At 49.5% G+C, this 20,719-nt stretch overlaps 2 protein-coding genes, 1 long non-coding RNA gene and 1 pseudogene across 9 annotated transcripts in view, besides 2 other annotated features; 1 reads left to right on the forward strand and 3 right to left on the reverse strand.

Annotated features, from left to right (window-relative positions):
* EZH1 (enhancer of zeste 1 polycomb repressive complex 2 subunit) overlaps positions 1–732 on the reverse strand; it is a 44,766-nt gene extending 44,034 nt beyond the window's left edge. For all 6 annotated transcript variants that reach the window (XM_011524517.3, XM_005257145.3, NM_001321079.2 and 3 more), the window contains exon 1: positions 703–732. In XM_011524517.3, coding sequence (XP_011522819.1) covers positions 703–709 — 7 coding nt within the window. In that variant the 5' untranslated portion in view covers positions 710–732. The remainder of the gene's footprint in view (positions 1–702) is intronic.
* Positions 310–889: a silencer, noted in NCBI's record as "silent region_8546". NCBI's record gives its function as "represses an Ori minimal core promoter by ATAC-STARR-seq in GM12878 lymphoblastoid cells {active_cell/tissue: GM12878}" and the evidence as "EXISTENCE:reporter gene assay evidence [ECO:0000049][PMID:35858748]".
* Positions 8,423–9,598, reverse strand: HMGN2P15 (high mobility group nucleosomal binding domain 2 pseudogene 15; annotated as a pseudogene).
* RAMP2-AS1 (RAMP2 antisense RNA 1) lies at positions 9,606–16,949 on the reverse strand. 2 transcript variants are annotated; one of them, NR_024462.1, is made up of 6 exons: positions 16,572–16,949; positions 16,327–16,403; positions 16,118–16,205; positions 15,431–15,572; positions 10,212–10,905; positions 9,606–9,922 (listed from the first exon to the last, which is right to left on the reverse strand). It is a non-coding gene; the product is annotated as an RAMP2 antisense RNA 1 (long non-coding RNA). The 2 variants fall into 2 exon arrangements; NR_024461.1 differs by having other exon boundaries at positions 9,606–12,071; positions 16,118–16,403.
* On the forward strand, positions 16,919–18,733 carry RAMP2 (receptor activity modifying protein 2). The gene is made up of 4 exons (NM_005854.3): positions 16,919–17,050; positions 17,526–17,591; positions 18,047–18,155; positions 18,289–18,733. The coding sequence occupies exons 1-4, from the start codon at positions 16,954–16,956 to the stop codon at positions 18,542–18,544; spliced, it is 528 nt and encodes a 175-aa protein (NP_005845.2). The 5' UTR covers positions 16,919–16,953; the 3' UTR covers positions 18,545–18,733.
* Positions 17,033–17,122: a silencer, noted in NCBI's record as "silent region_8547". NCBI's record gives its function as "represses an Ori minimal core promoter by ATAC-STARR-seq in GM12878 lymphoblastoid cells {active_cell/tissue: GM12878}" and the evidence as "EXISTENCE:reporter gene assay evidence [ECO:0000049][PMID:35858748]".
* Positions 18,734–20,719: the final 1,986 nt, after the last annotated feature.

The raw sequence follows: 20,719 nt of genomic DNA on the forward strand, positions 1-20,719 counted from the left end.
TTATATCATTTGATCCTCGGTTGAATGGTGGGGGTGAGCGATCATTGGCGTGAGACCAAAAGTCTGGAGTGAAGGAGATTCTTGCTCAGGGCCAGGCCTGGGGTGAGGCGACCGAGGCACCCAGGACGCACGTGAGGAGGCGCTCACTGCACTTGCGCGACCCTGAGTCAGTGCTCCTTTACACTTTGTGCCTTGGGAGCCTTACTCACCTCACCCTAGTCCCGGCCTTGTTTTTACTGCTACCCCTCCTCAACATCCCCGAAAGCCATCGCAAGATCAGCCCCGGTCTCTAGCCCTCCCCAAGCACAGCTCCAGGTCCCCAGAGTCCACCTCGCTAAAGGCCCCCGCAGGTGCCACCGCCCTCCCGCGCCCTTTGGGCGCTGGGGCTCCCGCCCACCGGCCCACACCGCCATCCAACGGGATTCCCCGTCCCCGAGCCCGCCCCCGCCGCTCCTCCTCCCGGGCACACAGCCCTCGCAGCCCCAGACGCTGTCCTCGCCTGGGTCTCTCTCGCCCCGTCGCCCCCATTCCCCCACCCTCGGAATGAGGAGGGGCGCCTGCTACCCCCGGCCAGGCAGGCAGTGTGTCCCTCGGATTCCTTCCAATTTCCTGATCCCTCCGCCTCTCCCTCCCTCAGGCCCAGGGCGGCGAGGGGAGGAGGCCCGGCCCCACCGCCCGGCCCAGGCTTGTTTACTCACTCACCCTCCATCCCGAGCCGCGGGTCCCGCTGCTAGGACGCATGCGCGCCGCGGCCCCACCCCTGCGCCGTGCCCCGCCCCGCGCCTCCTGTCGGCGCGTGCGCATTGACTTACCCGTGCCGCGCGGACGCACTACTGTCATTTGCCGCCAAAACCCCGCACTCAGGAGTCCTGGCGGGTGCAGCCTCCCAGACGGCTTCCAAAGCGGCGCTGGCAGGGGAGGGGAAGGGCTCTGGGGAAACCTTCGCAGAGCCACTAATATCTTCCTGAAGACCCTATTCAGCGGATTTGCCATCCCCACGCGCTGGTGACAAGCCACATCTCACTTCAGCGTTTGAAGCCAACCCAGATCACCTTCATACCGATGCTTCACCCCTACCAGTTCTCCAGACACCGGTCTATGGGTTCTAAGCCCTTTATTTATGTCTGATCTCCCTATTTCTGTTCATAGTTTTCTAGTCACTTAGAATCAAAATTATAGCCTTGTATCGAAATAAATCCCCACAAGACACCTGCTAGTTACAAAGGGAAAAAAATAGCAACTTTACAGATAAGAATCTGTCAGACACCACCTTAACTAAGTGATCAAAGTTAGCATCACTAGTGATAAGAGGTATTGTTTTCTTCTTCTTTTTTTGCCGGGGGGCGAGGCTGGACGGAGTCTCGCTTTGTTACTTACACAGGCTGGAGTGCCGTGGCGCGATCTCGGCTCACTGCAACCTCTCCCTCCCGGGCTCAAGCAATTCTCCCGCCTCAGCCTCCCAAGTAGCCAGGAATACAGGTTCGTGCCACCACGCCCGGCTAATTTTTGTATTTTTAGTAGAGATGGGGTTTCACCGTATTGGCCAGGCTGCTGTCAAACTCCTGACCTCAAGTGATCTGCCTACCTCGGCCTCCCAAAGTGCTGAGATTACCGGCATGAGCCACCACGCCCGGCCTCCCTCTTCTTTTTAAGGAGACAGGGTCTTGCTGTGTTGCCTAGGCTGGTCTTGAACTCCAGGGTTCAAGCCATCCTCCCACCTTGATTTCCCAAAGTGTTGGGATTACAGGCATGAGCCATTGCCCCCAGCTGAGAGGTATTCTTACCAGGTCCCTCTGAACATGATGCAATGAGAAGCGCACAAAATCACTTCTGTGGTATTCTTGACGAACACGCATAAGCTGATTTTTTGTGCGTGTTGTTTGTTTGTTTGTTTTGAGACAGTTTCACTCTTGTTGCCTAGGCTGGAGTGCAATGGTGCAATCTCGGCTCACTGCAATCTCTGCCTCCTGGGTTCAAGCGATTCTCCTGCCTCAGCCTCCCAAGTAGCTGGGTTTACAGGCATGCACTACTATACCCGGCAAATTTTGTAATTTTAGTAGAGATGGGGTTTCACCATGTTGTCCAGGCTGGTCTCGAACTGCTGACTCAGGTGATCCCCCCACCTCTGCCTCCCAGTGCTGGGATTACAGGCATGAGCCACAATGCCCAGCCTGCATAAGCTGAATTTAATTATGAGGAAACATCAGACAAATCCAAAATGAGAGACAATCTACAAAATAACTGGCCAGTATCTTCAAGTGTCAAGATCATGAAAGACAAGGGGTGAGAAACCATCTCAGATTGGGAGACTGAGGAGATATGACAACTAAATGTAATGTGTGATCCTGGCTTGAATCCTGGTCCAGAAAAAGAACACCAGTGGGATAATTTGATGAAATTAGAATAAAATCTCTAGATTAATTAATAGTATTTTATCAATCTTATTCCTGGTTTTAATCATTGTAATTGAGGAAGTTTGATGGACATATAGGAACTCTACCATATTTGCAACTCTATTAAATCTGAAATTATTTCAAAATATAAATTTTTAAAATTACAAATTAAAATGCAAAATAATAACATCTTGATTTTGATTTTGTCTCAAAGTGTATAATTAGAAAAGCTTATAATGTTCATTTTTTCAAGTAATCTTCATAACAACTGTATGAAGTACGTAGGGCAACTTCAGTTTACACATCAGGTTATTCTGGCCTAAAGGAGTTAGAAGACTTGCCTTACACAGATGAATAATTCTGTCAGGTCTTAAACTCAGGTCGCTGGATTCCAACCAGATTTAGTGTTCTTTTCCTTATATAAAAACTTTGCTGTTTTTCCCTTGCCCCTATCCATTTAACTACCAAATCAAGGAAAATATTCCTTTATACTGGCATTCCTTTCTGTTCCCGCTGCCTTCAAGATAAGTGGTTCTCAAACTTGGCTCACACTTGGGGAGCTTGGGGAACTTTGTTTTTGAGATGGAGTTTCACTCTTGTTGCCCAGGCTGGAGTGCAATGGCGCGATCTCAGCTTACCGCACGCAACCTCTGTCTCCCAGGCTGAAGCGATTCTCCTGCCTCAGCCTTCCCGAGTAGCTGGGATTACAGGCATGCGCCACCATGCCTGGCTAATTTTGTATTTTTAGTAGAGACAAGGTTTCTCCATGTTGGTCAGGCTGGTCTTGAACTCCCGACCTCAGGTGATCCGCCCGCCTTGGCCTCCCAAAGTGCTGGGATTATAGGCGTGAGCTACCGTGCCCAGCCAAGGAGTTTTAAAACTACTGATGCCCACCTCCCACACCCAAAAGTCTGATTAATTGATCTAGGGTATGGCCTGAGCTTCAAGAGTTTTTAAAGCATCCAGGTGATTACAATGTGTAGTGAAGTTTGAGAGCCACTGCACAACATTAATAATTGTTGGGAGAAAGACTGTGGCTTTAGCTAGGGAGAGCTGTCCAGAAGATCTGAATGTCAGGAGAGAGACTAGTGAGAGATTTGGAAACCATCAACATATTGATGGTAACTGAAGCCACAGAAGTGGACAACACTGCCTTAGGAGAAGATGCCAAATAACAAGAGAGTAGATACAAAGACATTTTGACATAACAAAGTATGGTTACAGAAATATTTTCAGGTGGAAAGGAAGTTGAAGGGATTTATGCCAAAGCTGTAGATCAGAATCTGATCTACAGCCTAACCTAAGTTCCCTCTCTTCATTAAACCTTCTAGCCCTCCTGGATTTCCCAGCCCTTCAACTTCAGTATCACTTTACACTCACTACTACACTGTATATCTCTTTCACCTCCACCATGATAGGACTACACACAGGGCTTAGTAACCCTCATTCATGGAAGGATTACAAAAATAACTTTCAGCCAGGCTCAGTGGCTCACACCTGTAATCCCAGCACTTTGGGAGAATGAGGCAGGCAGATTGCTTGAGTTCAGGAATTTGAGACCAGCCTGGGCAACACGATGAAACCCCGTCTCTACAAAAAACACAAAAAAATTAGCCAGGCATGGTGGTGTGGGCCGGTAGTCCCAACTACTCAGGAGACTGAGGTGGGAAAATCGCCTGAGTCTGGGAAGTCAATACTGCAGTGAACCATAATTGCATCACTGCACTCCAGCTTGGGCAATGGAATGAGAACCTGTCTCAATAATACTAACAATAATAATAAAAACAACTTTCCACACCACCAATAAGCGTGAGGTTCTTGGAGGAAAATTTGTTTGCCAGTTGCTTCCTCCTTATTGTGATGAGAGAGTTTTTCCTGAGACCAGACCCTTTCTTAGCTGACATTTCCTGAGACATTATCAGCCAAACTTTAGCTAGCTCTTCTTCTACAATTCTTTTTCTTTTGCAACCCTTCAGGTCTTTGTCCTGTAAATTCGTAGAAAAACTGCTGGCAAGTGGTCAGCAACTGGACCTTTGAAAAACAGTACAATCACCCCTGCCCCACTCCTCCCGGCCCCACCCCCAGGCAGTTAATGGGAGAAGGGAATAACTGTGTCACTCCTGGCTTCCAGTTGCTCATCTTGCTTTAAATTGGAGGCCTCTGGGGCTGAAAGAAACTGGACAAAGTGTGCTAAGTAGCCTAATAGGGCTGGTTCTTTTTCTGAAAGTTCCCTATTGCAGAAAAATAAAATTATGTGTTTAATTTTTGAAACCTGATGCCTGATTTGCCTTGGCAGCTACTCTCCTGGGCTTGGCCCAGAGTCCAGCAACCCTAGTATACTGATTAATACCAGCTCAACTTGCTCCCTGGGGAAGAAGAGCATTATTTACTTGACCGTTTTCTTAAATCCTTTTTAATTTCCTTATATTTTAGCATAATCTTCTTGGCTTTAACATGCTGTATCTTTGACCACTGGCCCCAGCGAAGCCTTAGGGAAGACCGCTCTGCTCTGTACACTCATATCCCCATCACAAAGCAAGATTGTGTTCAAGCCCATGATTAGAAATGACATGTCACGTGTTCTAGTCCTTCTGGGACGGGCGAGTTCTAAGTGTACTTTCGTCCCCTGCTGGTCCTCAGGCCACTGGTAGAAAGGGAAGGAGATGATGCTCCTCAGAATCCAAACAGAGCTCTCTGCACTAGTATTCCTGCCTTCCAACCTGAGCCCCCTTCGGACAGTGACCCATTGGCCTGTTGCGCCCCTCCCTTGTAATGCCCACAGAGATATCAAACAGCAATTTTCAGAGGGGACACAGCAGACTGAGGAAAGGCTGGGCCACAGACAGTCCCTGACAGGGAACTGTAAACACAGCTGTGGAGATGGGAGCAAACCATCCTCCCTCCCCCAGTTCCAACCCAGAAGCAGGGAAAGGCCACCCTGCCATGAAAAAACAAACAAGAAAACAAAGCAAAGCACAACCCAAAAGCTGCACGAAGGTCACCAGAAACTGGGGCTGCTGCCCAGGACTTGGTGGGGCCCGTTGAAGTGCCAGACCCCTCCCTGAACACTTAGAGGTGAAGGCAGCTCCAAAGCAGTTGAGATCTGGACATTACAGAGCCTGGAAACAGGGCTCAATTTTTGAAGCCTCTCCACTCCGGACACTTTGTCCTCTGATCGCAAAATCCTAGCTGTCTGTCTTACATACTTAGCTCCTGACCCCTAGTTGCTTAGGGATCATAATAATGAATTCAATTCAGCAAGTAAGAACAGGCCCGCAATAAACCCTTGTCCATGGCTGTTATAAGTTTAAACTCTGAGTCTCCAAACCAAAATATCAGAAAGGGCTTCCAGTCTTTGTTAATTACAAAATAAATAATTCCAGCAGGAAGGGACTTTCTCTTTTGGGCACTCATTTGGGTGGAAGTCATGCCTTGATTTGCACATACCCTCAAGCCTCCAACCCCACAGCTAGGGTGGTGCTGCTGGTTCTTGCTCTCAGCACAGTTAATGCAGGGTCTTGATCCCTAAGCTACAGCCCTGCCTGGGAAGTAGCTCTGATCGGGTGGACAGTTAACGAGCTGTGCTTCCTTTTTGGCCATTAGGGTCCTCAACTGTGAAAATGAAATGGCAGAACAAGAGAAAATGGTAACAGCTTTCAAATACTGAGTACTAACTATGTACATGACACTGTCCTGAGAGCTTTATATCTGATTTCATATGAATCAGGAATATTCTTTTTTTTTTTTTGAGGCAGAGTCTCGCTCTGTCGCCCAGGCTTGAGTGCAATGGTGACATCTTGGCTCACTGCAAGCTCCGCCTCCCGGGTTCATGCCATTCTCCTGCCCCAACCTCCTGAGTAGCTGGGACTACAGGCGCCTGCCACCATGCCTGGCTAAATTTTTTGTATTTTTAGTAGAGACGGGGTTTCACCGTGTTAGCCAGGATGGTCTCGACCTCCTGACCTCGTGATCTGCCCGCCTCGGCCTCCCAAAGTGCTGGGATTACAGGTATGAGCCACTTCACCCGGCTGAATCAGGAATATTCTTATCCCCACTTTACAGCTGAGGAAACTAGGGTTTAGAGAGATTCTATAACCTGCCCCAGGTCATCCAGCTGGTAAGTGGTATGGCCAGGATTTGGGCTGAGTTATTCTGACCCACCCAATCAATGCTCTGAACCACTCCACTATACTGCCTCCCTTCTCTGAGGTCGTCTAGCTCTGACATCATGATTCTGGATTTTCTCCATTGCTTTCTGCTCTCACCAGTGGTGCCAGAAAGAGAACGTGTTTGGGACTCTAGTCTGCAAGTCCAGAGGAAAACAGCTCCTGAAAGTTAAGGGGCTCCTTACTTCCTCTGTACTGGAGACGCCAATCAAAGCTGGACACTTGACAGACCCCCATATCAACAGGGAACATACAGCCTGTGTGGAAGAAAAACAAATCCTAGCCAGACAGGAAAAGGGAGTCCCCTGTTTCTGTGACTTCCCCTTCTCTCTTCCCTATCAGCAGGGTCCCACACTGCTGATGCTGTGGCCTTTTGAACCCTTCTGTGGCTAGGATGAAACACCAGGCTACAGAGACACTTTGGGAGCAAGAGAAGTGGCCATTGTATTCACAGTACACACATCTACAAATTATATCCATGATACTGTATGTAAAGGAGCAAAAATAAATCACATTTATTTATACATTTAACAAGTTGCTTTTAGTATTTATATTATCACTAGACATTGCACTGTGTAGGAATCCCATGTAATCCTGGCAAAATGCCTGGGAGTCAGGTATCATCCACATTTTACAGAGAAGAACACTGAGGCTCAGGGAAATGGACAACATTCTCCATGGCCCCAGGCTGGTAAGAAGGAGAGCTGGAATTCAAATCCAGACTAGGTCTGTCTGACTCCAAAATCTGTATTTGTTTCAATAAAAGGAGTGTTGTATAGTAAAAAGAGCAAAATTATGAAACTGTAAAGATCCCAGAATATCTTGGAAATATAATTGTCATAATTATATGTGTTACACATTATGATAGTAACTTCCATTTATTGCATGCTTAGCAGTGCCAGGCATTGGGCCAAATGCTTTACATAGTTCATCTGTACCGCTCAGCGAGATACACGCTAGTGATCCCATTTTGCAGATAAGATGACAAGCTCAGAGGAGTTAAGTAACTTACACAGTCTTTTTTTTTTTTTTAGACGAAGTCTTGCTGTGTCGCCCAAGCTGGAGTGTAGTGGTGCAATCTTGGCTCACCGCAACCTCCGTCTCCCAGGTTCAAGCAATTCTGCCTCAGCCTCCCAAGTAGCTGGGATTACAGGTGTGTGCCACTGCACCTGGCTAATTTTTTGTATTTTTAGTAGAGACAGGGTTTTACCACATTGGCCAGGCTGGTCTTGAACTCCTCACCTCAGGTAATCCGCCTGGCTCAGCCTCCCAAAGTGCTGGGATTACAGGTGTGAGCCACCATGCCCAGTCGCACAAAGTCTGATACAGCCAAATAAGCGATGGAGCTGGGATGCAAACCCAGGTTTACTTGACTCCAAAGTGTGTGCTCTTAAGCACTAAGGCAGTAGTAAGAATAATGTAGTATTAACTATGGGCCAAGTTGTGCTTTAAGTGCTTTATACCTTGTAACTTACAGATATTATTATCACCCCCATTTTACAGATGAGGAAAATATTGCCTTTTGTAACATTACTTATGCTCACATTACAGACATCACACCCATGTGTTAAACACCCATATGTTACTAGTGTCATGTTTGCTTAACATATGTTGGATCCTTGCTTATCATCTAGAAAATAATGTATTTTTTTTTCATTGTCCATCTAATGTGTTAATGTGTCTTGCAGGAAAGAATGTGAAAAGGTACTGTCTATAGACAAAGTAAGCATAATCAGGAGAGGGACAGTACTGAGTGGGGAAAGACCTGTGTGCCCTGAGGGGCCCTGTCAGGTTGCCCTTCTAGCCAATCTTCCTCATTCTTTCCTATTCAATTCTCTGTAGCAAGTTGACTTCTTTTTTTTTCAAGCTGTATCCAGCTTTATTAAAGATACGTTCCATAAACAATCATGGCATTTCAGGCAGGACATGGGCAGACAATCGTTAACAGTATACAACAACTTTCAAACTCCCTTCTTCAATGGACTACCAAAAATCAGAAAGCCACTGAAGTCTTCATCTGATGCTCTGAACAGGGAAAGTTTAGAGTGAGGGTTGACATTTCACATTTAGCATGTTGTTTAACAACTTTTCACAGGCTGAACCTGACTTTCATGAAGTGAAATGAAAATGGCAGAATTTATCTGAATATCCACAATCTAGAAATGGAACCACTACTCTTTTGACAGGTGCCATCTCAGCGGCATCACTGGAAAATCCAGATTGCCTGACACACTGGTAACCAATGACTAGAGGTCAGGTCCCAACAGATGTCTGGGCTTAAGGGAGTTAAGTCTATGCTGAAGGATGGAAAGGGAGAAGAGGACATAAAAACGAATTTGTTTTTCCATACCACAAGGCTTTTGTGCCAAGGTGGCCATGTGTGTCAAAGTCAGGGAATCCCTCCTCCTGGGAGCCAAGAGGAAATCTTTCAAAACTGGAAGGGAAATGTGTTTTCCCCACATCAATCCAGCTTTGGAGACATTCTACTAGTGACATATGCCCCTTCCCCAAAAAACAACAATGAAGTGTTCTGTGTGTTAACAACATAGCTTAAAAAAAAAGTAAAACAAAATTCTGCATTTTTATAAAACTTGATAAAAAATAGTATTTGAAATTGTACAGTCACCAGAAGTACACAGTTATCAAAAATGCACACACTTCACTTGGCAACTCCAGCACCTTCAGCTTTCTGTGCCTGGTCTGTTTTGGCATCTCCATTTTCTGCAGGGTTATTCCCCTCCTTGCCAGCATCAGCTTTTCCCTTTTTCCCTTTGGGTATCTTCTCTCCCTTCTTTGCAGGGGCCTTTTTAGGCTTGGGCTGTGGCTTTGGAGGAGCAGGTTTAGCAGACAACCTTGTGGATCTTCTCTATGGTTCGTCCTTCACCTTGGCTTTGTCTCCTTTAGCATCCCCTTTAGCCTTTCTCTTGGGCATGGTGGTGGCAGCGACGGTGGCAGGATGTAGGCGCTGGACGCGGGATGCAGTGGCATGTGGGCTTTGATCAGTCCGGGGGTTGTTCTCACCTCTTCTTCACACTGCTCCAACTTCTTTTTTTTTTTTTTTTTGTCTGTCGCCCAGGCTGGAGTGCAGTGGCACTATCTTGGCTTACTGCAACCTCCACCTCCCAGGTTCAAGCGATTCTCCTGCCTCAGCCTCCTGAGTAGCTGGGACTACAGGCGCCCACCACCACGCCCAGCTAATTTTTGTATTTTTAGTAGAGATGGGGTTTCACCATGTTGGCCAGGCTGGTCTCGAACTCCTGACCTCAGGTGATCTGCCCACCTTGGCATGTGCCACAATGCCCTGCTAATTTTTGTATTTTCAGTAGAGGCGGGTTTCACCATGTTGGCCAGGCTGGTCTCTAACTCCTGACCTCAGGTGATCCACCTGCCTCGGCCTCCCAAAGTGTTGGGATTACAGGTGTGAGCCACCGTGCCCAGCCTGTTTGTTTGTTTTCAATACAGGGTTTTGCTTTGCTGCCCAGGCTGGAGTACAATGGCATGATCATGGCTCACTGCAGCCTCAACTTCTGGGCTCAAGCAATCCTCCCACCTCAGCCTCTCAAGTAGCTGGGACTACAGGCACACATCACCAGGCCCAGATAATTTTTTGTAGAGATGGGGTCTCCCTATATTGCCTAGGCTGGTCTCAAACTCGCGGGCTTAAGCAATCCTCCTCCCACCTCAGCCTCCCAAACTGCTGGGATTACAGGAGTGAGCCACCATGCCTGGCCCTTACTTAACCTTTGAGCTTCAGTTTCCTTGTCTGTAAAGTGAGTTGCTATGATACTTAATTTAATAGTTCAGTTTTAAATAAAACAATTTGTATGATGCATTGAGCATATCAGCATATTGCCTGTCATCTTCAAGGCTTGGTAAACAAATATGAGTACCCTGTGTTATGCAGTATCCAGGCTCCTGGCATGCCGGGATGGGGTAGAAGGGTTCCTGGGGAGGGTTTCATGGGACAGTCCTAATGAATGGAGGGAGAAAGCAATCCTGGCATCTGGCATTGGGTCCTACAGCAACCATGAGTCAGCCCCAGGTGCTAAGGGACTAGCTATGTTCTCAGCACTGCTGGGTGTGTGCTATGGGTCACTTGGCCACGGTCCTTGACAGTCACGCTGCCTGAGCATCATTCTTGTAAATCTGGCCTGAGTTCTTTTTAAAAAACAGCCTCCACCATGTGATGTCATGGTCCAGCCAGGGTTGGAGAAGGAAGGAGGAGGAGGGTGTGTGCACACAGTCTGGGGATCTTCCTATTTGTGGAGGAATCAATTTGGTCCTAGAAGAAACTCTCTATCCTTCTCTCCTCCTTTCCAGACCCAGTAAGAAATTGGTATTCTGATCTGCAGTGAGAGGAGGTGATAAATCATAATGGTTAAGACATGAACTTTAGCATCAAGATATCCTGGGTTTAAATCCTGGCTCTGCCAATTACTAGCTCTGGGATTGTAAACTTTCTCCTCCTGTTTCCCCATTTCACACATGGAGAAGATAATTCTGATGTTATAGTGGTGTGGCTTTAAGACATACATGCAAAGCTTTCAGCACATGCGTCAGTAGGCACATTATGCAGCCCATAGTAAGTGTTCAATACATGGTAGTGACTGTTAGGTCCCCAGCAGTTGATGAGTAATATGACTTGATCAGCTTCTCTGGAAGGACCCCGTCTTCTCCAATGGCTTTTTTTTTTTTTCCTTCAGACAGAGTTTCACTCTTGTTGCCCAGGCTGGAGTTCAGTGGCTTAATCTCGGCACACTGCAACCTCTGCCTTTCGGGTTCAAGCGATTTTCCTGCCTCAGCCTCCTAAGTAGCTGGATTACAGGCAGGCACCACCACGCCCAGCAAATTTTTGTATTTTTAGTAGAGATGGGGTTTCACCATGTTGTTCTGGCTGGTCTCGAACTCCTGACCTCAGGTTATCCACCCACCTTGGCCTCCCAAAGTGCTGGGATGACAGGCATGAGCCACCGCACCAGGCCCAGTGACCATTTTTCCCCCTGAAAGGTAGTCAGGCCCCTCCCAGGTGTGCCATCATTCTGGAGATGAGGAGGCTGGGGAGAGATGGAGTAGTTGTGTCTCCACTCCTTTGTCTTCCCTCCCTTAGCTGGCTCCCTGGCTATAGCTCCTCTAGTTCTCCCTGCTATCTCCCTGCCCTCTCAAGAAGTGTGTCTCCTCTCTCTAGTTAGGAAGGATCAGCCCCTGCCAGCCAGGACTTCTGGCTTCCCCGACCCTGCCTCTTTCTCACATGTTCTCTTGTGCTCTGCTCTTCATTTTGCAGACAGCTGGGGGAGAGACCAGCAGGTGTGAATGACTGTGCATCACAGAGATGCTTATTGCAGGATGCTCCACATATAATTTCAAGGTGTAGAAGGCCCTAGCACTTTTTACTTCCTCCTGGGTGGCTCTGCATTTGTGTGTGTGGTGGTGGTGGAAGTTGAAGATTAGAGATGCCACTCTTCCTAAGGGTCAAGTCACCTCTTGCCCTGCTCCAGGCAGGATGACCCTTGGCCTGTAACAAGAAAGGAAGTGGCAGTAGGATGGTAGTAGGATCCCTGCTCATGAGGAATTAACCTACACTGGGGCCAGAAGTCTCAGGACAATGTTCAGCTGGACAAGAACCAGATCCCTCTCTTTCCAAGCCCTAGGTGGTGCGGGGTGGGGGCAGAGGAATAAGGAAATGTGTAAGAAATGTAAAAACTAGATGTATGGCCGGGGGCGGTAGCTCACGCCTGTAATCCCAGCACTTTGGAGGCCGAGGCAGGTGGATCACCTGAGGTCAGGAGTTCGAGACCAGCCTGACCAACATGGTGAAACCCTGTCTCTACTAAAAATACAAAAATTAGCTGGGCGTGGTGGTGGGCGCCTGTAGTCCCAGCTACTCGGGAGGCTGAGGCAGGAGAATCGCTTGAACCCAGGAGACGGAGGTTGCAGTGAGTCGAGATAGCACCATTGCACTCCAGCTTGGGCAACAAGAGCGAAACTCCATCTCAAAAACAAACAAACAACCAAAAAAACAAACAAACTAGATTTCCAGGCCAGGCCCGGTGGCTCACACCTGTAATTCCAGAATTTTGGGAGGCCAAGGTGGGCAGATCACTTAAGGTCTGGAGTTTGAGACAAGCCTGGCCAACATGGTGAAACCCTGTCTCTAGTAAAAATACAAAAATTAGCTGGGCCTTGTAGGGGGCATCTGTAATCCCAGCTACTGGGAGGCTAAGGCAGGAGAATTGCTTGAACCTGGGAGGCGGAGGTTGCAGTGAGCTAAGATCACACCACTGCACTCCAGCCTGGGCAACAGAGCAAGACTCTGTCTCAAAAATAAATAAATAAAAAACAAACAAAGAAAACCCCCTAGATTTCACTGGACATAAGGAAAAAAAAGACTAAAGGCAATACTACGTACAGTTAAAAAGAAAGAGGCATACATACATATGTAGTATCATGGAAAGATATCCAAGACATGTTACTAAGTGTTCCCTCCTTTCCTTCCTTTTTCCCCTTCCCCTTCCCCTTCCCTTCCTTTCTTTCTTCTTTTTCTATTTGGAGACAAGGTCTCACTCTGTAGCCCATGCTGGAATGCAGTGGCATGATCATGGCTCACTGCAGCCTTAAAATTCTGGGCTCAAGGGATCCTCCTGTCTCAGCCTGCTGTGGAGCTGGGACTACAGGCATGTGCCACCAAGCCTGGCTAATTTATTTTTATTTTTTGTAGAGACAGGGTCTTGCCATGTTGCCCAGGCTGGTCTTGAACTCCTGACTTCAAGTGATCCTCCTGCCTTGGTCTTCCAAAGTGTTGGGTTTACAGGTGTGAGGCACTGTGCCTGGCTTCTTTATTATCATTATTATTATTTTAGACAGAGTCTCGCTATATCACCCAGGTTAGTCTCCAATTCCTGGGCTCAAGTTCCTGCTTCAGGCTCCCGAGTAACTGGGATTACAGGCATGAGCTGCATACCCAGCAATAGTATCACATTTTTTAAAAGACACTGAGGCCAGGCACAGTGGCTCACACCTGTAATCCCAGCATTTTGGGAGGCCAAGGCAGGTGGATCCCTTGAGGTCAGGAGTTCAAGACAAGCCTGGCCAACCTGGTGAAACCCTGTCTCTACTAAAATACAAAAATTAGCTGGATGTGGCGGCGTACACATGTAATCCCAGCTGCTCAGGAGGCTGAGGCAGTAGAATCACCTGAACCTGGGAAGCGGAGGTTGCAGTGAGCCAAGATGGCGCCACTGCACTCCAGCCTGGGCAACAGAGCAAGACTCCATCTCAAGAAAAAAAAAAGTCACTGAATAATAGGAGTATCAAATCCCATTTATGCTTTCCTTTAAAAAAATCCAGAATATGTGGGAAATGAGATATGAGTGGGGATACAAAGTTTTCTGGGTTAAATATTTTGCAACAAGTATATACTTACATATTACTTGCAATTTAAAAACTGTATTTTTTAATAGCAAAAGCAGAAAGGGGCTTAGAAAGGGAATGTGAGGGCCCTCAGGAGTGGAAAACAGGGGACTTCCCATGACGAAACTAGCTTCTGTTCCTAATACGGCCCTTCCTCTACCCATTGCTACAGATCATCAGATCGTGGGACTATCTCCTATGGCTACATGGAAAAGAAAGGTGAGGTCTCCTGTCCCTATTCATCTCCAAAGACCCCCAAAGTAAACCCTCAGTTACCCGGATGCTCTCAGAGGTCGATAAAAACATTCAAACATCCAACTGGCATGGAAAAGTGGAAGAGGAAAATCAAAACGAGAGAAAATTCCCAGATTCTCCAATTAGACAGTTTGGACACCTGAGCTCAGGAATGACTACAATAAGTTCTCCTTTGGAGGTCTCAACATCATGATGCAAACTTAACCCCAACCCTAGGCTAAAAATAAAACTTCCCAAGGGCCAGGTGCAGTGGTTCATGCCTGGAATCCCAACACTTTAAGAGACTGATGCAGGAAGATTGCTTGAAGCCAGGAGTTCGAGACCAGCCTCGGCAAAAAAGCAAGACCCCCATATCTACAAAAAATATGCCTGCTGTCCTAGCTACTTGGGAGACTGAACCAGGAGGATCTCTTGAGCCTAGAAGCTCAAGACTGCAGCATGCCATGATTCTTCCACCGCACTCCAATGTGGGCAACAGAGTGAGCCCCTGTTCCTAAAAAGTAAAGTAAGATAAAAATAAAATAGGAACTTCCTACCAAGTTACCTATATTTTCTTTTTTGATCTTAAGGCCATTTTACATATGAAAATCTTGAGCTCCAGAGATGTGAAATAACCTGCTCAAGTTACTTGCAGTAAGACAGAGGCAGAACCTACCTTCAGAATCCTCATCAGTTTTTTTCTTTCATCCGTTATGATTATCCATTATCATTATGCCATATTGTCCTTTTTTTTTTTTTTTGAGATAGGGCACAATCACAGCTCTCTGCAGCCTCAACCTCTGGGGCTCAAGTGATCCTCCTGCCTCAGCCTCCCGAGTAGCTGGGACTACAGGTGCACACCACTATGCCAGGCTAATTTTTTAAAAATTTTTTTATAGTTTTTTTTTTGTAGAGACAGGGTTTCACTATGTTGCCCAGGCTCTATTTTAAATCTAACATTTGCTTTTGTCCCCTTTAATCTTGACCCCAACCCCAGTCCTAACCCATAGTGGGCTCATGTGCTTCTGGCCCCAACCCAGTGAAAATGGCTTGTTTTGCTTTCTGCACCTCCTTGCTCCTTCCTCCCATCTTATCACTCAGAAATCTCCCATGCTTCCTTCTTGAAAGGAGCAATCCTAGGCAGGCAGGAAGGACTAGATTTGGTCCCAGCCTGAAATGTCTCAGAGACTGCATGGCTCTTTTCTGCATCATTGTAGAAATGATCCTTACCAGGAGGACTTTGGAGTTCACGTCAAGCAGGCCATTGACTCTCTCCCACTGGATTCTTTGCAAAAGCAGCCTCTTGACCATAGAGGAGGACAACAGGTTATCCGTGCCCATGATCCAAGAGCTTGAGATCCTGAGATGAAGACTTCAGGAGAGATCAGGACAGATAATTTGTGGTGGGCAGGAATCAGTAAACTGGGACAACAGCAGCAGCTGAGTCCAAGGGTCAGTGTCTGGGAGTAATTTAGGAAAGTTTGGTGCTGACAGCTGTGTCTGGGACTTGAACGTCATGGCCAAACCAGCTCCTGGGCTCCTCAGCTGCTTCAGACTAATGAACCTCTGGCCCAGGACACAAGAAGCAGCTGTGGTGTGGCTGAAGTCAGGACCCCCGGAGGCCCAGACTCAGCCTTGCTGCTTCCTTAACAGTGTGACCTTAGATAAGTCACTTAGGAAAAGAGGAAAGGAAACTAGCATTTAGCGAGTGCAGTGCCCTTTCACAGCTGCCATCATACAGTGAGGAGGGGAATGTCCCTATTTCACATGAGAAGTCCTGAAGGTAAACGTGTCATTCAAGGCTCTATAGCTGGGGAGTAAGAAGACAGAATTAGAACCCAGAGCTTCTGAATTCAAATCCCGGGCTGTTGGCCCTGAGCTTTAGCTTCTCGGTCTGTAAAATGGTGTTACACTCACCTGGCACATGAAGTCGCACACTGAAGGTTCTAAAACCCCTCCATTCTTTCTCCCAACCGTGGTCCTGAAGAGCTGTGGCACCTTCTTCCTGGGAACGTAGTCATCGTATTTTGCCCTCCCCACAACAGGTTTGTGGGGTCTAGGCCCCAGGAGGTGTCTGAAGGGAAGGTATTTGGACTTTGCTTTCCCCTCTACCCCACTCCCCAGACCTTCTCCCGACTCCAGAGGGCTGGCTCCCGCTTCTCCTCCCTGGTTTTGGCTGGCGGACTGACATCAGCTGGTATTCCTAGGGATAGGATAAGGAACCCTGAGCTGCATGGCTCAGCTCCAGGCGCCCCTTCCCCCACAACCCAGGACAGCCCCTTAGAAGCAGCGGCGTCGAGAGGCCGCTGGAGCTCCCAGCCCCCTCCCTCTTCTCCACGTCTGGGAGAGCAGCTTGCCGACCCCTCCAGACCCGAAAGAGAGAGGGGGCGACTCGAATTCGGGGAGCGATCCTGGGAGACCCTGGAGAGTCCTGGGCGCCACGCAGCCGAGCCCCCGAAATAGATCCCGGTTCCGGGGTTCCGGGAGCTGTCCAGCCTCGCGGGGTGAGCTACGAGAGGGTGGGCCAACGCCGGCGAGGCGGAGGGAGCCGCGGGCGCCAGGCGCGGGTGAGGCAGCGACTCCCCCTCCAGCCGCGGGCCCCGAGCGTCGCCCCCGCCCCCCACGTGGCCGCCGCCGTCCCAGCCCCTCCGAGGAAGCGGCGCGGCTTCCTGCAGCTTGGGCTGGGGATATAGGCGCCCCCACACCCGGGCCCGGCTCAGCGCCGCCGCCGCTCCTCGCCTCCTTGCTGCACGATGGCCTCGCTCCGGGTGGAGCGCGCCGGCGGCCCGCGTCTCCCTAGGACCCGAGTCGGGCGGCCGGCAGCGCTCCGCCTCCTCCTCCTGCTGGGCGGTGAGCGCGGCGCCCCGAGGCCCGGGCGGGAGGCGCGAGAGGCCCCGGAGGGGAGAGGGGAGAGGGGAGAGGGGCTGGATGGCCGAGGCCGGAACGGGCCCTGGGGTGCGGGTTAGGACCGACGTACCTAGCAGCACTGGCCCTCGGACGGTCCCTGACCCCACCTCGGGGCGGGCGCAGCATGAGCTGCTTCCCACCCAGGGAAAGCTGGGGTGCTGGCCCCGGCCCCTCGAAGAGGGCTTAGGAGGACGGAAGCTGGCCAGAGATGAGGGGGCTTTGGGCCTGGGTGTGAGTGACAAGGAGCTGGTGCCAGCCCCTCCCTCCCCGGCACTGAGGCGTCCGTGGGGGCTAGATTATTCCTCCTTTTCTTCCAAGGTAGCCTATTTTCGGAGGGTCTCAGTCCCCCAACCCCCCTCGCAGGCTCCACTGCCGGGGTCCCCGCTATGTTACCCTCCTCTCCCGTTTCTTCCCACAGCTGTCCTGAATCCCCACGAGGCCCTGGCTCAGCCTCTTCCCACCACAGGCACACCAGGGTCAGAAGGTGGGTACCCAGGGTGTGGAAGGGTGGCCGAGGGTAAGGACGAGAGCAAGTTCAGTGGGGAGGGTTCCTTTCCCACGAGGCCTGCCCAACCCCAGCTGATGCCCCACTACACTCCCCTCTGTTCTTTCTTGGGGTTCCTCGTGGTCTTTCTCCCTGTCCTCCTACAAAGCCCCTGCACGGCTCTGAGCTGCCCACCTCACAAGTGGGCGAGAAGACCCCAGGAAAAGGTGTACGTGGAAGTTCTTATCAGGCTGGGATGGAAAGTGCTTAGCACATGGAAGTCATTATAGGATTCCTGAGCTGGGACTCTGTCCTCAGCCAGAATGTTTTGCTAGGGAAACTTTCTGAAGGGTTCCCACGTTTGAAGACAGGCAGTTCACCTTGCAAGCACCTGGGCAGGAGGGTTTGTAGGGAGGGGTAGGGGTGTGGTCATTGTGTAGCATCTGTACCTACAGGGGGGACGGTGAAGAACTATGAGACAGCTGTCCAATTTTGCTGGAATCATTATAAGGATCAAATGGATCCTATCGAAAAGGATTGGTGCGACTGGGCCATGATTAGCAGGTAGGGGCAGTGATGGAGGGTGGCTCAGGCCAGGGGGTGGACCTGCTCATTGCAGGTAGACCCTGAGTGAGAGTGGGGCACTCTTCTCCCTGGGTCCACCCCCTCTCTCACTCAAGTCCTCTTCTGCCCCTAGGCCTTATAGCACCCTGCGAGATTGCCTGGAGCACTTTGCAGAGTTGTTTGACCTGGGCTTCCCCAATCCCTTGGCAGAGAGGATCATCTTTGAGACTCACCAGATCCACTTTGCCAACTGCTCCCTGGTGCAGCCCACCTTCTCTGACCCCCCAGAGGATGTACTCCTGGCCATGATCATAGCCCCCATCTGCCTCATCCCCTTCCTCATCACTCTTGTAGTATGGAGGAGTAAAGACAGTGAGGCCCAGGCCTAGGGGGCCACGAGCTTCTCAACAACCATGTTACTCCACTTCCCCACCCCCACCAGGCCTCCCTCCTCCCCTCCTACTCCCTTTTCTCACTCTCATCCCCACCACAGATCCCTGGATTGCTGGGAATGGAAGCCAGGTGGGGTCATGGCACAAGTTCTGTAATCTTCAAAATAAAACTTTTTTTTTGTACAATGTCCTTCTCCCCATTTCAGTGGAACCTGTGTCCTTCCCTGCCACTGCCACAGGCCCTCAGCCCTGGGTAGTAGAACTGGAAAAATCTGGATGGCCCATTGTTCTGTTCATTTCACCTGCCCCCCTGCTCCCTGCCTCCATGAAGGTCACACCCCTATATTCTTTCCTCCCAGGCGGGCCTTTCCTGCCTATATCCAAACTCGGCTCCAGGAAACAAGCAGGAAGAGACTCCCTTCCGGTCTGGACAGCAGCTGGGGGCCTGCAACTGGGGAGGTGTGGGGGAAGGGGCAAGGGAGGAATCTCTGCTTGTGACTCCTGCAAGAGGAGCAGGAGGCTGCCCAGGAGCCCTGACTATTCCTCTTCTTCATGCTTCAGTTTACTCACAGGGCCTGGGAAGAGGAACCCTGACTGAGCAACAGGAATCCATTCCTAAGGCCCTCACAATTGAGGGAGAAAGCAGTGGGGGCTTCCTTTACTAGGTTCACCACCCCTCTCCATGTCCCTTGCCCTCATCCTACATTGTCCTGGACTGGGTGTGGCCTGCAGCCTAGCAACACACTGCCCCCTGGTGTCCACTAAAGCCAGCAACCAGAAGACGTATCTGATCTGGAAGAAGCTCAAGGCTGAGGAGCACTGGACCCTGGGGTCAGAAAACTGCCATCTCTACAGCAATCACTAGTTCCTTGTTTGTTTGTTTGTTTGTTTGTTTGTTGAAACAAGGTCTCATTCTGTCACCCAGGCTGGAGTTCAGTGGCACAAACATGGCTCACTGCAGCCTCGACCTCCTGGGCTCAAGGATCCTCCCATCTCAGACTTCCAAGTAGCTGGGACCACAGGCGTGAGCCACCATGCCCAGCTAATTTTTTTTTTTTTTTTTTTTTTTTGAGATGGAGTCTTGCTCCGTCACCCAGGCTGGAGGGCAGTGGCATGCTCTCGGCTAACTGCAAACTCTGCCTCCTGGTTCATGCCATTCTCCTGCCTCAGCCTCCAGAGTAGTTGGGACTACAGGTGCTCGCCACCACGCCCGGCTAATTTTTTGTATTTTTGGTAGAGACAGGGTTTCACTGTGTTATCCAGGATGATCTCGATCTCCTGACCTCATGATCCACCCACCTCGGCCTCCCAAAGTGCTGGGATTACAGGCACGAGCCACCACACCCGGCCTAATTTTTTTTTTAAGTTTTTTTATACAGATGGGGTCTCACCGTGTTGCCCAGGCTAGTCTTGAACTCCTGGCCTCAAGTGCTCCTCCCCAGTCAGTCTCCCAAAGTGCTGGGATTACAAGCATGAGCCTGCTGTGCCTGCACAACCACTAGTTCTTAGCTGGACCCCGCTATCAGCTTCCTGAGACAAACAACACTCTCTTCAGATACCTTCCTACTTTCTAGGATCATACCCAGCCCCTCTCTACAAGTCACCATTGCTGTATATGAACACACCTATATGTTCCCTGGATAGTGAGGCCCATTTCTTACCAGGTAACCTACACCTTCAACTCTCCATCAGACACAACTGCCAGGTCTCCAAAAATATCTCCAAAACAACTTTATTCTCCATGGATACATCTGTTTACTCCTTGTGGCACCCCGAGCCTCTTTAGGGACTTTCCTTCTTGTTGAAATATCTGCCTTCTTGAGTACATGCATGTCCATTTCTTGGGGTATCCTGCCTTTTCCATATATGCTTGTATGATTCCTGGAACATGCCTATTCATTCTCTGAGACACACATCTCTCAGGGTGCATCTGTTTTTCTAGGCACACATATGTTCCCTAAAAATATTTTGAGTTTTCTGACCGGGCGCGGTGGCTGACACCTGTAATCCCAGCACTTTGGGATGCCAAGGCTGGTGGATCACCTGAAGTCAGGAATTCGAGACCAGCCTAACCAATATGGTGAAACCCGTCTCTATTAAAAATACAAAAATTAGCCAGGCGTTGGGGTGTGTGTTTGTAGTCCCACTACTTAGGAGGCTGAGATAGGAGAA

Source organism: Homo sapiens, chromosome 17 (genome assembly GCF_000001405.40).
Source record: "Homo sapiens chromosome 17, GRCh38.p14 Primary Assembly".
Classification (NCBI taxonomy): Eukaryota; Metazoa; Chordata; class Mammalia; order Primates; family Hominidae; genus Homo; species Homo sapiens.